Source organism: Homo sapiens, chromosome 15, assembly GCF_000001405.40.
Source record: "Homo sapiens chromosome 15, GRCh38.p14 Primary Assembly".
Taxonomy (NCBI): Eukaryota; Metazoa; Chordata; class Mammalia; order Primates; family Hominidae; genus Homo; species Homo sapiens.
In genome coordinates this window covers 76,198,346-76,211,573 of record NC_000015.10, presented here as the reverse complement: position 1 = coordinate 76,211,573, position 13,228 = coordinate 76,198,346, and the positions used below count along the sequence as shown (strand labels likewise).

General features: G+C 54.2%; 1 protein-coding gene across 4 annotated transcripts in view, besides 2 other annotated features; it reads right to left on the bottom strand.

The window, feature by feature from the left end:
* Nucleotides 1-6,610: 6,610 nt before the first annotated feature.
* TMEM266 (transmembrane protein 266) overlaps nt 6,611-13,228 on the bottom strand; it is a 144,979-nt gene continuing 138,361 nt past the window's right edge. For all 4 annotated transcript variants that reach the window (XM_047432151.1, XM_017021915.2, NM_152335.5 and 1 more), the window contains 2 exons: nt 9,310-9,372; nt 6,611-7,833 (listed from right to left, as the gene is read on the bottom strand). In XM_047432151.1, coding sequence (XP_047288107.1) covers nt 7,259-7,833; nt 9,310-9,372 — 638 coding nt within the window. In that variant the 3' untranslated portion in view covers nt 6,611-7,258. The remainder of the gene's footprint in view (nt 7,834-9,309; nt 9,373-13,228) is intronic.
* Nucleotides 11,327-11,970: an enhancer, noted in NCBI's record as "H3K4me1 hESC enhancer chr15:76491945-76492588 (GRCh37/hg19 assembly coordinates)". NCBI's record gives its function as "activates a minimal SCP1, AML or CMV promoter by ChIP-STARR-seq in naive H9 embryonic stem cells {active_cell/tissue: H9 hESC(naive)}" and the evidence as "EXISTENCE:reporter gene assay evidence [ECO:0000049][PMID:30033119]".
* Nucleotides 11,971-12,615: an enhancer, noted in NCBI's record as "H3K4me1 hESC enhancer chr15:76491300-76491944 (GRCh37/hg19 assembly coordinates)". NCBI's record gives its function as "activates a minimal SCP1, AML or CMV promoter by ChIP-STARR-seq in naive H9 embryonic stem cells {active_cell/tissue: H9 hESC(naive)}" and the evidence as "EXISTENCE:reporter gene assay evidence [ECO:0000049][PMID:30033119]".

The following is a 13,228-nucleotide window of genomic DNA, read 5'->3' as shown; positions in this document are numbered from 1 at the left end:
TTCATTTTAATCATCTGTAAAATGGCGATGTGAACTAGGTGATCTTTCTAGATAACAAGCTTTAACCTATGAGTGTATTGGTGGGTGTCATACGAGGTGAGTAGATGGAGACAGTGAATACTGTTTTTGAGGGCTTCTTATGCCCAAGATGCTGTGCTGAGCCCTTTACATACGTTATCTCATTTACGTCTCATAACCTCACAAGGTGTAGGTTTGACCTGGGGCAAACTGCCTCTTCTCCTGAGATTCTGATTTCTTGAATGTTTCCTACTCTTTCCCCCACTGATGGGGTGACATACATGAAAGTGCTATATAAGCCAAGGATTATCAGCAACTCTTCTTCAGATGAGAAAACTAAAGCCTACAGAGCTTAAAACACTTGCCCAAGGACGCATGGCTAGTAAATGGTGACCACAGGCCAGTCTGCTCCCAACCACATGCCATATCCCAAGTGCCTCAATGGGAGTGCAGAGGATGGACCTAATCTAGCCTGACTAGGGTGGGCTGCAGTGCAGGGCAGCAAGATATGAAGGCCTCACCAAGTTCAGAAGGGGCAGCAAAATCAACCAGATGAAGAAGTGCATTCCAGGCAGAAGGCCAGCATGGACAAAGAACAGGATTACCCAGGAACATGACACACTGAGCTGCTTTCTCTGGAAAATGCAAGGTCTAGACTCTGATGCATGAGTCCCCTTCTAGCCGGACACTCCTCCATTCTGAACCACTCTTTGCTCAGGGAAGCAGGGGTCTTTGTACTGCAATCTGGATCCAGTCTGCTCATTGGCCTTTTGTGGTATTTAGCACGGTGCAGGTCCCAGAACCCCCTATCGCTTCTTTAATCAGTGGAGGCGGAGGTGAGCATACCTAGTTATGAGGCCTAATTGATGTTGGGGAGGTTCCTAGAGTGCTCGGTGAAGGGTGACCCATAAATCTCAGACACTGAAGAATTCTGCCACATCCATCACAGTGTTTAATGTCCTGATTGATCTCCAGGGTAGTCAATTTCATTTGCTTGTTTCAGGATGAAGAGGCAGCCTGCTTCCCTATGTTGCAGCCTGGGGCTCTGCATAAAATTATGCCAGCCCTGTCTCCTGGTAGCTTGCAATAAATTTTAGCAGCAAATGTTTCATCATTTTCCTTGGATAATTAACTATTCACCAGGAGATAATACCAAACTTTTCAGCAGTGGAGTCAAAGATATTCAGAATAGTGATGAATTCCTCACTTAGTTAATGTGAGGGAAATACAAGTTTTTGGCAAGTACTCCAGTAGTACTCCAATAGTACTGACCAAAGGGAGAGGAAGGAAGATAAGGTGCCTCCTGTCTGGGGGATAACAGTGCTCTCTTACCTCACTCAGAGTGAATACAGGCATGGAACAAATGAGTATGTGCGAGCAGGGATGCACTCAGGAGAGGAGCAGGCAGTGGCTGGACTGGCTGTTATGACTAGGGGCGGGGCTCACTGCCACCCTCCCACACCAGACTATCAGCAGCAGCAAGAGCGTCTCCTGGGCAGCTGACCCCAAAAGTGCTGAGCATGTGCTGGCAGTAAAACACCCCAGGCTTCTCATTAATAAGGATGCTTTCTGTTTGTGTCTCCCCTGAAACATTCTCAAAGGGTTTTCCCTTCTGTTACATCATTAGCTATCCCAGCAGCCTTCAGGGTGGGAGGCACAAGATCATTCCTGTTGTACATGGGGAGGAAGCAGGTCTAAGGATTTGCTTGGAGCCTCATAGCAAACCAGAAACAGGGCTGGGCTGAGAATCCAGTCTCTGCCACATCCCGTGCATAGGTACAGTGGCACCTGAGGTAGGAGGCATGGGAGAGAGTGGGATGAACAGACCTCTCTCCAGCCCTGAGATGTCCATGGTTTGGCTGTTTCAGCCCCCAGAGTTGTTGGGGGTCCTTGTGAAGCAACTCCACACAGGTGTTGAGTGGGGCACAGGGTACTGTCAGCTTGTTAGTAAGAGGGATTCCTTGGGCCCAGATAATTTGTCAGCAGCTCCAAGAGTGGGACCCCAACTCTGTCTTCTCTCTTTAGAGGTAACTGAATAGCACCAGGGAGGAGCGTGGCGGCAGCACCAAGGCGGAAGCCATGCTCTTTTGACTCTGGCTTCCGTCAAGAGCTGTCTTGGAAGGAGAAAGGAGCTCCTGAGTTGAATTTCAGGTGGACACCCACCATGCTAAATAGAATTCCAAGCCACTAGCCTCTAGCCACACAGGTTCCATCCCAACACTCCTGTCTGTGGGACTTGATCTGAAAAGCCACACTTTGGTTGGGAACCTTGCCCAGGGCTGGCTGGAGAGGGGCCTGTTGTGCCACTCAGGGAAGGCCTTATGGTTCCCTCATCCTGGGTGGGCTTCAGGCTGGGGCTGCAGACTCTGGCCCAGCTCCCTGGTGGGCCAGTCACCAGCACTGCTGGCTCTGAGTCCTGATTTCTTACTTTGGCTTTCCTGGTGGCACCTGGTTTGATTCTGGACAGCTCATTTCACATCTAGCATGGCATATAATCCAGCCAGACCTGGGTTTGAATCCTGCCACTACAGCTCACTAGTTAGCTGTGTGCCCTTGGGCAAGCCCCTGAATGAGTCATTCCATGGCTGCTGTTTTCTCCTCTGTAAAGCAGGGAAGATAGCGCCCACTTTCCAGGGCTGTGCTAAGGAGGGAAGCCTGTGAAGAGCACCTGTCACAACAGGAAATGCAGACGTGGGAGTCACTATTGTTACCACCCTCTTGTTCTAGCAGGAGACAGTGGCTGTTACCAGACCCTCCCTTCAGGGACAGCCCGATGACTCCTCTGGGCCACCAGAGTGGGTTCTCCAAAAGGGTGCAGGAGAACGGGGAGCCATTTCCCAGAGCTGCAAACCTCCCAGGGAGTGCTCAGGCTCCATCTCCCTCAGCCCCCAGCTGCCCGCCAGCCATAACTGTAGGATATGGTGCCCAGGGGAGCCATGAAAGGCGAAGCTTTTACCTCCATCTCCTGCACTTCAGGCCCCCAGGCCCCACCCTAGGACTTGCTGTGGGATGGGCTGGAGGAAGGGCTCTGGAGTCTGCAGAAAGGACTGCCATGTTCCTGGCTCTGGCATCCTTCTCTGTGCTCTTGGTGCCAGGCACAGCCATCCTGATGTCTCATGCTCAGACACCACAGACTGGAAATGGTGGCATCTCCTCCTCATCAGTTCCCCCAAGTCCCATCAGTCAGGTGTCCCCAGCGTCTCCTCCACCACCGCTGCCTTCATCTTGCCTGCCCATGTGCAGCCTTGTTCCCTCTCCTCTGGGCACGGGCCCCTCCCTCTGGCTGCTCCTCTGCAACTACCAGAAGACTCTGTGGTAGCCCTTCCATAGCGCTTTATCTCTAGGGAGAACATCTGGCTTGGCCTGGCATCCAAGGCCTCTGGTGAGCAGCCTCACCTGTCCTTTTCCAGGTTGCTCTCATGTGGTCCCTTCCCCCTCCTACCCATTCCATCCTCTTCCTGACACCAAACTTCTCCCTGTTCCCAAACCCTGCCTAGCTCACTGCTGTTCCTCTGCTTGCACTGTTGTCCCACCACCCTCCTCCTGACATTCCTTCCTTTTTTTCCCCTTTAAGTGGTTTAACAACTGACTTCATGTCAGGGAGATAATCAAAAATTCCCTGCTCACATTCTCTGGAAGTGGGCCAGTTTTGTAGCTCAGCGTTGAAACTACCCCTAAAAACAGCTCTCCTCTTCCACGACAAACAGAAGAGTTGATTTGGTATACTTACTCTTTTAAAATCGCCTTTAAATGTTTCCTCCATTGTGAGGCCTTCAGATGTCCCCAGGCAAGTAAGTAGCTTCCTTCATCTGTGTGTACTGTCTTACGCTGTGACTGTTGTGGACTCTGGACTTGGGGACCACCTGTTATCTCTGTCCCCAGCCTCTATCTGTGAGGCAGTTCCAACACAACATGAAGGCAACAACAAGTGCTCAGCAGGGTCTCACCTTACAGCAACTTGTAAATACCCCAAGAAATCCGCTTTTAAATGTGGAGTTCTGGCCGGGCCCAGTGGCTCATGCCTGTAATCCCAACACTTTGGGAGACTGAAGTGGGCAGATCATTTGAGCCCAGGAGTTCCAGACCAGCCTAGGCAGCTTGGCAAGACCCCATCTCTACAAAAAACACAAAATTTAGCCAGGCATGGCAACGTGCACCTGTAGTCCTAGCTACTTGGGAGGCTGAGATGGGAGGATCATCTGAGCCTGGGAGGGTGAGGATGCATGAGCCATGATTACGCCACTGCATTGTAGCCTGGGCAACAGAGCAAGACCCTGTCTCAAAAAAAAAAAAAATGGCTGGGCACGGTGGCTCACACTTGTAATCCCAGCATTTTGGGAGGCCAAGGCAGGTGGATCACCTGAGGTCAGGAGTTCGAGACCAGCCTGGCCAACATGGTGAAACTCCGTCTCTACTAAAAATAGAAAAATTAGCTGGCCATGGTGGTGCTCGCCTGTAATCCCAGCTACTTGGGAGGCTGAGGCAGGAGAATCGCTTGAACCTGGGAGGTGGAGGTTACAGTGAGCCGAGATCACACCACTGCACTCCAGCCTGGGCGACAGTGAGACTTTGTCTCAAAAAAAAAAAAAAAAAAAAAAGGTGGAGTGCCTACAAAACAAAACACAACAAACAACAAAAGAAAAAAAAAAGTGGAGCTCTCTAGAGACCCATTTCCTAGAGGACAAACTGAAGAGAACAGCTGCCACTTGCCTAGCATCCTTCCCATGGCATCCCTCCCCATCCTGTGGTTCTTCCCTGGAGTAGGAGTCCCCAGCGGACGCGAGTGCTGGCAGTCAGCCTTGGCAGTCGGCCTTGCAGCTCCCCCTGGCATGGGGCCAGGTTCATGTGCCTGTGAGGTAGCAGCACTAGCCCAAGAGCTGGTACAATGGAGCTCTGCAGAAGGCCAGTCACAGCTCAGCAAGGTGAGCCTGGAGGAGGAGGGTGGCCATTTCTAGTCCACTGGGTGGAGATCACCAGTTAAGGAGCCCACTGGCTTCTGCCCTACAGATTACAAACCATGTAATACCCTCCAGCCCATCAAGTGGCAAAAGCCAAGTGACTGCTTTGCTTCCCAAAGCTCTAAACTCTGGGAACCCCAGGGCCTGGCATGGTGCCAGCAGACTTGGGCCCCAGTTTCAGGGCCTGTCATTAGAGTTCAACCTCAGAAAGTTTCTTCAATCTCTCTGAGCCTCAGGTTCTTCAACTGTAAAATGGGGTTAGTGATACCTGCCTCACAGTGTCGCTGGAAGGGTTAAAGGAGCCCATGTGAGTAGGGGCCTTGGCCCAGTGTCCAGTGATGGATGCTATGGCAGTGCTGCTGGTGACGCCTCAGGTTAGCCACTCTTGCCCTTTGCAAAAGCTTCCCCTTGGTAGGTCTTCTAATTACACCGCAAGAGTGACTCAGTTGGATGTTGCCACCTTTAGCACTTTTTTAACAACTGTTCATCACCCCATGAATCAGGAGGGTGCTCTTTGCCAGCACGTGGTAATTTCCTTCCCTTTCTTCCAATTCAGCCATCTTTCCCAAGTGGCTCCATGCCCAGGCCTGTGGGATTCTAATGGGGCTCAGGCCTGCTCGTTGTTCTTGAGGACCAGCCTGGGAGGCAGGCAGGGAAGCAGATGCTGACCAAGCCAGGGACATGGTGCACTGTCAGGTGAGTCCAGGGGGGCCACAGGAGCTCCAAGGACACCCAGCCTAGTGGTGAGGACAGGCAGGACACTGTCACGGTGAGCATAACCCAGACCAAGGTAGAGGGGAGAAAGAACAGGCTGGACAGAGGCATGGGAGGACAGCCAGAGGGGCAAGCAAGCCAGCTCACGAAGGGGCTGAGTCACACTCAATGTTCTCTTGAGGCAATGGGAGCCCTTAAAAAAAATTATGTCTTCTTGCCGGGCGCAGTGGCTCACACCTGTAATCCCAGCACTTTGGGAGGCTGAGGCGGGCGGATCACGAGGTCAGGAGATCGAGACCATCCTGGCTAACACGGTGAAACCCCGTCTCTACTACAAATACAAAAAATTAGCCAGGTGTGGTGGCAGGTGCCTGTAGTCCCAGCTACTCAGGAGGCTGAGGCAGGAGAATGGCAATGAAGCCGGGAGGTGGAGTTTGCAATGAACCGAGATCGCACCACTGCACTCCAGCCTGGGCAACAGAGCAAGACTGCGTCTCAAAAAAAAAAAAAAAAAATTATGTCTTCTCTACTCCCCTCCGCATATAAAAGAAAACATGATGGTCATACACACATGATGGTTATACACACAAAATCCCTTGGAGGCTTTTAAGCAGGGGCGCTGAGGCTTAGCTGCCTGGGAAGATACACTGGGGAGGGTGAAACCAGAGGCTGTGCAAAGAGGAGGCTGCTGCAGTCCAGTCCGGCAAGGGGCCTGGGTCTCAGCACGGCCGTGATGGGAGCCAGGGACAAGCAATTTGGAGGGTGGAATGACCAGGATTCACGACTGCTCACGGGACGAGGAGGGAGCCTGGGATGCCATGTGTATCTGAAACTGGGTGGATGGTGGTGCCCTGGCTGGGAACCACTCTGGACACCTCACCTGGGCTAGCAATCAAAGGAAAACCTCCACCAACTGGGAGTCTCAGTGCAGCTGGTTTTTATTATTAAAGCCAAGGTTGGAAAATGGTTGTTCCCCTGCCCTCTAGGACCCTCCCACCCACCTCTAGGTTGATCCCTTTATATCCTGTGAAGGTGAAAACTAGATTCGTCTTGAAGAGACTCAGAAACGCTCATGCTGGAATGAGAATGAGGACAAATGACATAGGCTCAGATGGTGGTCTCCGTGTGATTGTGTTGGACTCCACCCAGGATTCCTGGGAAAGACGGCTTAGGGGTGGGGCTGGACAGCCCCTGCTCACAGTGCTGTTCCCTAGAGTCCAGGGTGGGCGTCAGGAACGAAGGCAACGCAAGAGGCTGAGCTGGCCCCCCCACACTCTACCCTGCTGAAGCTGGGCCACAGGCTGGTTTTTGTAAAAATGGTTAAAAAGAAAACCCAGCCACGAGCACCACCCTCCCCTGAGCAGGGCGAGAAGAGGCGCCAGCTCTGGGCTTTGAGGTCTGAAGCTTGTGGCCTCCTGGCCTGGCGTCGCCTCCCTGGAGGCAGGCAGCACCCTGAGGGAGGCCAGGTGGGCTCCTGGGCCCCGCGTGTGGCCCTTGGCAGCCTCCAGGGTCCCAGGAGAGCTTTGAGATGGCTGTCTCCCCTCATCTCACCCAGCCCATGGCAGGCTCTAGGCCTCAGGGACCCTGTGCAGCTTTTGCTCTTTGGATTCCAAAGATCTGAACTTGTCCTCCAGCATGGGCACAGTGGGCTGGAAGTGGATGACAGGCCTGATCTGAAAGACAGTGAAGCCCTCCTGGTTCTTCTGGTTGAACAGACTTACCCTGTGTTCCAGCTCGGGGCTGGTTTGGGCCGAGCCCGCTGGGCTGGGCCGGGCGAGGGGGGCTGGGTCCAAGGCCTTCTGGGAAGGGCAGGGGTCCTCCGACAGGGAGGACAGCAGGTCCTGGACTGTGGCCTCCTCCACCTGCTGCTGGGATGGCAGCGGCGGGGGAGAAGGGCCGGGCTCAGAGGACGGCTCCTCGCGGGCAGTGCTGCAGTCCATGGAGGAGCCCAGCGTCTGGCTGCTGTCACTCTGGGCCCGGGTGACTGAGCTGCGGGAGGCACTCTCCGAGGTGGCGCTGGTGCCATTACCGCCGAGTTTGAGGGGCATGTCCAGAGAGAAGAGGTCCGAGGAGATGTTGGGCTGGTGAATGTCTATTGCGGCCGTGGTGACCATACACACAGCTGGCTCTGGGACACCGCTGTCTGCAAGGTAGGAGGGGATCTTGGTCACACTTCAACCTCTGCCACACCTGGGGGCCCTGAAGAGAGCAGGTCTGAGCCGGGCGGTGGGCAATGAGTGTGGCTAGGCTGTAGGAGACCGTGCCTTTGTGGAAGGAGGCCTTGGTAGAACTCCCTCCCAGTTCTCCAACATCACTGCCCTGCTTTGAGGGGTATTATGCCTCATCTTGTTAAACTCAAGTGTAGGCGTGTGACACGCTTTGGCCAGTTACCCATGAGAAGTGACCTGTGGCACTTCTGGGCAGAAGCTTTATGAGCTGGTGCTTTACCCTGGCAAATGTTCTAGGATAGATGGTGACTGTTCTGTCAACTGGGTGCTGGAGTAACAGTGATGACCCAGGAGCAGAGCCCCCAGCCAACCTACAGTGGGCTTTTGTGGCTTTGTTTGTTTAAACCATCGAGATGCAGGGTTATTTGCCACAGCTGCCTAACCTAGCCCATCCTAACTCAGGAAACTTGGTGTGCCAGGGCAGGGAACTTGGGTTCCATGGTCTGAGGAATGACTCAGTTTCAGATGGACTGGCAGGGGTGGGGGCTGCGGGGTGGGATGATCAGAGCCTGCTTAGCATGCATCACAGGATCAGAGGATGCTCAGAGCTCTTTGCTCTAGGTGAGATGTACCACGGGGCTGACCTACAGAGGGTGCAGGGTGGGGAGGTTTCTCCCCAAAGTTGTGGAGGACTGGGAGAGAGGTCTGGGCTGGAGACGGTGGTCTTTGAAACCAGCATATTGGATGAGGCTTTGAGGGAGGAGAGAAGAGGGATGAGGCCTTAGGGAGACTAAATTGTGGAAAACAAAAAATTCAAATGCATTACTCACATGGCCCAACATAATATTCTAGCCTTACAATGGAGCATACAAGGTTTTGGGGGCTGCGAAATTCAAACTCAAGAACTGCATGTGGAACCCGGAACTGGAAAGGGGGCTATGGAGAAACGAGACACCCAAGGCCTCAGCGTTATTTTAAAATTCAATTTTTCCCATAAGTAAAAACCACTAGGCTTCCCTGAGGTTTTTTTCAAGTGCAAGAACATCCAGCAGGAATGTACCCAAGGCCTGCTGCTTCTCACACCCAGGGGTGCTATGGCACCTCAGCCTCCACTGTGCCCACCTTGACATGTGTGCAGGTGGGCACTGAGGTCACTTGGAGTTCTGGATTCCAACCCCCTTCCAATTTCAGGGTTCCACATGCAGTTCTTATGGGTGATCACAGAGCACCCCTATCCTGGCACCTGCAGGCTCAGCCCCTGGGGACCCCCAGCTCCAGTGCTGGAGTTTGCTGGAAGCTGAAGCTCCGATATTTTAACCTTGAGCACTGCCTGCAGTTATGGTTCACAGGCACCAGGTGATGGGCATGCTTTGAAGCCAGGCCGAGTTGTCTCTGGGTTTAGGGATTGCTGGGGTTGTGGCACATGTAGAACAGCCCCAACCCAGACTTACCACTGCTGGGCCCATTGTAATACTGACTGATGTAGCTGTTCATGTCGTCCTTCATCGTGGCTTCTACAGAGGTGGGGACAGAGAAGGGTGAGTGCATCAAGTTCATTCTCTACCCCTTATACTCCTGTCCCCACCCCCACGGTCACAAGAGAAGGCAGCTGTCTCACAGAAGCCCTTGGTGTGTGTGACGGGAGCTGCCTCTTAGTTCTCCATGGGGACCACCTGTCTCACCTGCCCCAGGGGCTGGACTGCACTGGGTGCTGGGGGACCCAGGTTCTGATGAAGCATCTGCCTTAGTACTGACCTGGACAGACCCCTTCCCCTCTGTCCCCAGTTTCCCCATCTCTGAGATGAGGGGTGTGGAAATAATTTATCAGGGCTTTTCCTTGTCTGGATGGCCTGAGCCTTCATTGCCTAAACTTCTCAAGGGCACTGGAAACACTGCCCTTGGTAAAGAAGCCCTGAAATCCCATTTGCAGGACACAGCCAGCCACAGGGCTGAGGTGCCATCCAGATAGCCCCCCGTGGCTCGATCCACCTGTGGGCTCCAGCCTTCCATGCAGTATAGGAACAGACCTGGGGAGGTGGGGTGCTGGGGATCTCCACCACCTGCACTGTTCCTGCACACAGTAGGTACTCAGTACATAATTACTGAGCAAATAACAGAAAGGGAGGTGAAAAGCTCATGTCAAGGGGGGTGGGAACAGGGTCTTTTAAAAATTAGCTGGGCGTGATGATGCACACCTGTGGTCCCAACTACTAGGGAGGCTGAGGTGGGAGGATTGGTTGAGGCTGCCGTGAGCTGTGATCACACCACTGCACTCCAGCCTGGGTGACAGAGTGAGACCCTGTCTCCAAATAAATAATAAGGAATCTTGGTTCACCTCCTGAGAGGAGCAGGGAGGGAATGGGAGGAGAGTTGAGATTTTCAGAGTGGCCTGAGAGTGGGAGGAAAGCCAGGTGCTGGAAGACCCCAAAAGCCATCCTAAGAGCTGGGCCTTGTTCCAAGGGCAGCGAGGCAGTGAGGGGCCACAGGATGGTCTGAACTTGGTCAGGTGTGATTGGGAGAGGCTGTGGCAGGAAGACCAGAGACTGCAATGCCCAGGGTGGGGTCAGACACCAGAAAGCCCTCAGCATGGGAGGGCTGAGGGCTGTCCTCCCTCCCCCGTGGAAGTCTGGAAGTGCTCCAGGGCTGCCCCTAGAGTCCGAGTCTGCACCCCCAGGAGCTTCTCTGAAGAATGGGGTCAGCAGACCCACTGTGTTCTGAGGGCCCCTCCCAGGCACACCTGTGAGCTGCAGAAGCCAGTCTGCCCTGACCCTGGGAGGCTGGAGGCAGCACAGAAGGGCCTGGCTCTTAAAAGCTTTTCTGGCCTCTTTTGATCTTTAAATGCCTGCAGTCAGAGGTGTGTTTTGCACTAACGCTGGGGTTGAGGGAGGGCCCCGGGCTGGCTCCAGGCCCTGCTCCTCATCAGCCAGCTACACTCTTCTTGCAGCTGGGCATCCATACGCTGTGTGTACTGCCAATGCTGTCTAGCCTGGCTGCTGCCCTGGGAAGCCAGGGGTAACTGATCCCTGCAAGCTGGAGGCTCAGGACCCCCAGGCCCTGTGGGCCAGGTTGGGGGATCTGGTCAATCTTGGTTTTATCCTGAGACCACACCCGCAGGGACTCCAGAGGGCCATGTGATGTGAGTAGGACAATGAGCTCAGCTAAAGTATCCACAGAGCAGCGAAACCTTAACCCAAGAGCCACTTGCAGGAGGAGGCCAGGGTAAATGAGAAAATCCCAGATGCTGAGTTGTCCTTGTGCTGCCACTGGCCTGCCATGGGGGCTCAAGCAGGTCCCATCCCCTCTCTGGGCCTCAGTTTCTTCATCTGTACCCCGATGGCGCTGGCGAGGCTCTTTCAGATTGTGATGGGGCCAGGCAGATGGTTCTGAAGTTCCAAGAGGTGACAGAGTCACAGCGGAGTGCGAAGGGACTGGAGGCATCTTGGCCAGTCCCCAGTACAGGAGTCCCCTGGATACCGGCCTGAGAGGGCTGTCTCCACCACAGCCTGCACACCTCTAAGGAAGTGGAGCAGCTCTGGTCATCAGCTCCTGGGCAGCTTCTCATTCATCTGTGCTCAGTGGAGTCACAGTGAGCCCACCCTCTGCCATGTATTGAGCCCAGGAGTCCCTGTCTGCGGGGAGCACAGTCGGGGCCTTCCAGGGACGTCAACTCCTGGTCAAACGGCCCATTAGCATTTAATCAGGAAGGCCTACTATGTGTGAGGCTTACAGGTCCTGGTCCTGCCCTCCACACAGGTACCAAGGACAAGCCCATTTCTACTCACGGTCTACATGACAGCCCTTCCACCACCTAAAAAGCCCCTCACATCCCTCCTGGGAAGTCTCCTTTCCTTGGAAAGCCCCTGTGCATTCTCTACCCCTCCCTGGTTTCCCAGCCTTTCCACCCTGAACGTTTCACTATGGGCTCCAGCTGTGACCAGAATGGGAGGGAGGGACTAGTGTTTACTCTCAAAGCTCCAGACCTAGGGGTCCGCACTTCACACACTGATCTCCCTGCCCCTGTGCTAAAAGGCCGTGATTATTGAATAGACTGTGCCAAGTGCCCCGAGATCCGATGTGATCACACTGCCCTAATGCACCCTCACATCCTCCGAGCGTGTTCAGAAACTGCCCTCCTCTGCCAACTCATGTGGAGCTTGTGGCCAGCACGGACACCCAGGTCTTCTCTGCAGGAGCTGAGGCCAGACCAGGCCTTCCCCACCCTGTACTCATTGTAACCCCCAAGGAGGGCTCATCACCCTGGGCAAACATCAGCTTGCTGGGCTCAGCCCAGAGGGTCAGCCTGCTGGAGACATCCTGAGTCCTGGCTCAGTCTATCAAGGTATTAGATCGTTCTCCTTTCTCTGTGTTGCCTACATAGTTGAGTCCTTCAGCCCAGACATCCCTCCTGAGCTTCGGACTGGTCTGGCCGACCGTCCCCGGACAACTCCTGGCTGGCCTCCAGCTACCTCTGACTCAACATGTCCAAAATAGAACTCGGTTTCTCCATCCGCCTCCATCTTGGTGACTGGTTCCCTGGCACTTTTTAGTGCCTCTCTCTTACCAACAACTTTGACTTCCACCAAGTCTGTGACCAGTTGAGGGACCCCTGGCCCTGTGACCAGTCCTAGATTGGACTTCATGGTTTACCCTTTGGACTCCTGCCCTGCCTGTGGGTTCAATGAATTAGATTACTTGCTCCCGGGATGTGCCTGACACAGAGCCGAGGTCCCTAGGTGGCCATGAGGGGTCTTTTCAGTCTGCACTTGCTCTCCCTGTCCCTACTCCCTCTGCTCCAGACCTGGACCCACACAGGGCCTTGGAGTGAGCTTTAAGGCGTGAGTCTGAGAGCCAGGCTGGCCTGGACTTCTCTAATGGTGCTGAGGCCGGGCCTGCCTGTTGTCTTGTGTCATGCAGGCTGGTGGATCCTCTTCTTCCAGAACTGAACACTTGGGCTGCGGTTCTGTCTTCACCCACAGAGGGGGACCAAGGGCCTTGGAGGGCAGAAGCCACATTTTACTGTCTCCCTGGTGCTTGGCATGGAGTTTGGCATATGCCAAGTACCATTAGGCTGGACTGGACAGAAGACTATGGTTGGATCAGAGGCCTGTGGGACTTCCCAGCCTCCACCCCTACTCCAGGGAGCCATGGAGTCACCACACACTCAGTAGGAAGTCTCACTGCCCACCCTGGTTCCTCCTACAGAGAGACTGGGGGATCTGGGAGCGAAGGGGTGGCAAGGGAGGCAGACACAGATGTTTATGGCTGGGAATGGGCCACACTGTTGGCCTCACACAGGGCTGCCCACCTTCCATCTAAGAATAAGCCCCTGCCCCCGGGAGTTTGCTTTGATTCAGCCCTGAGGAGTCCTAG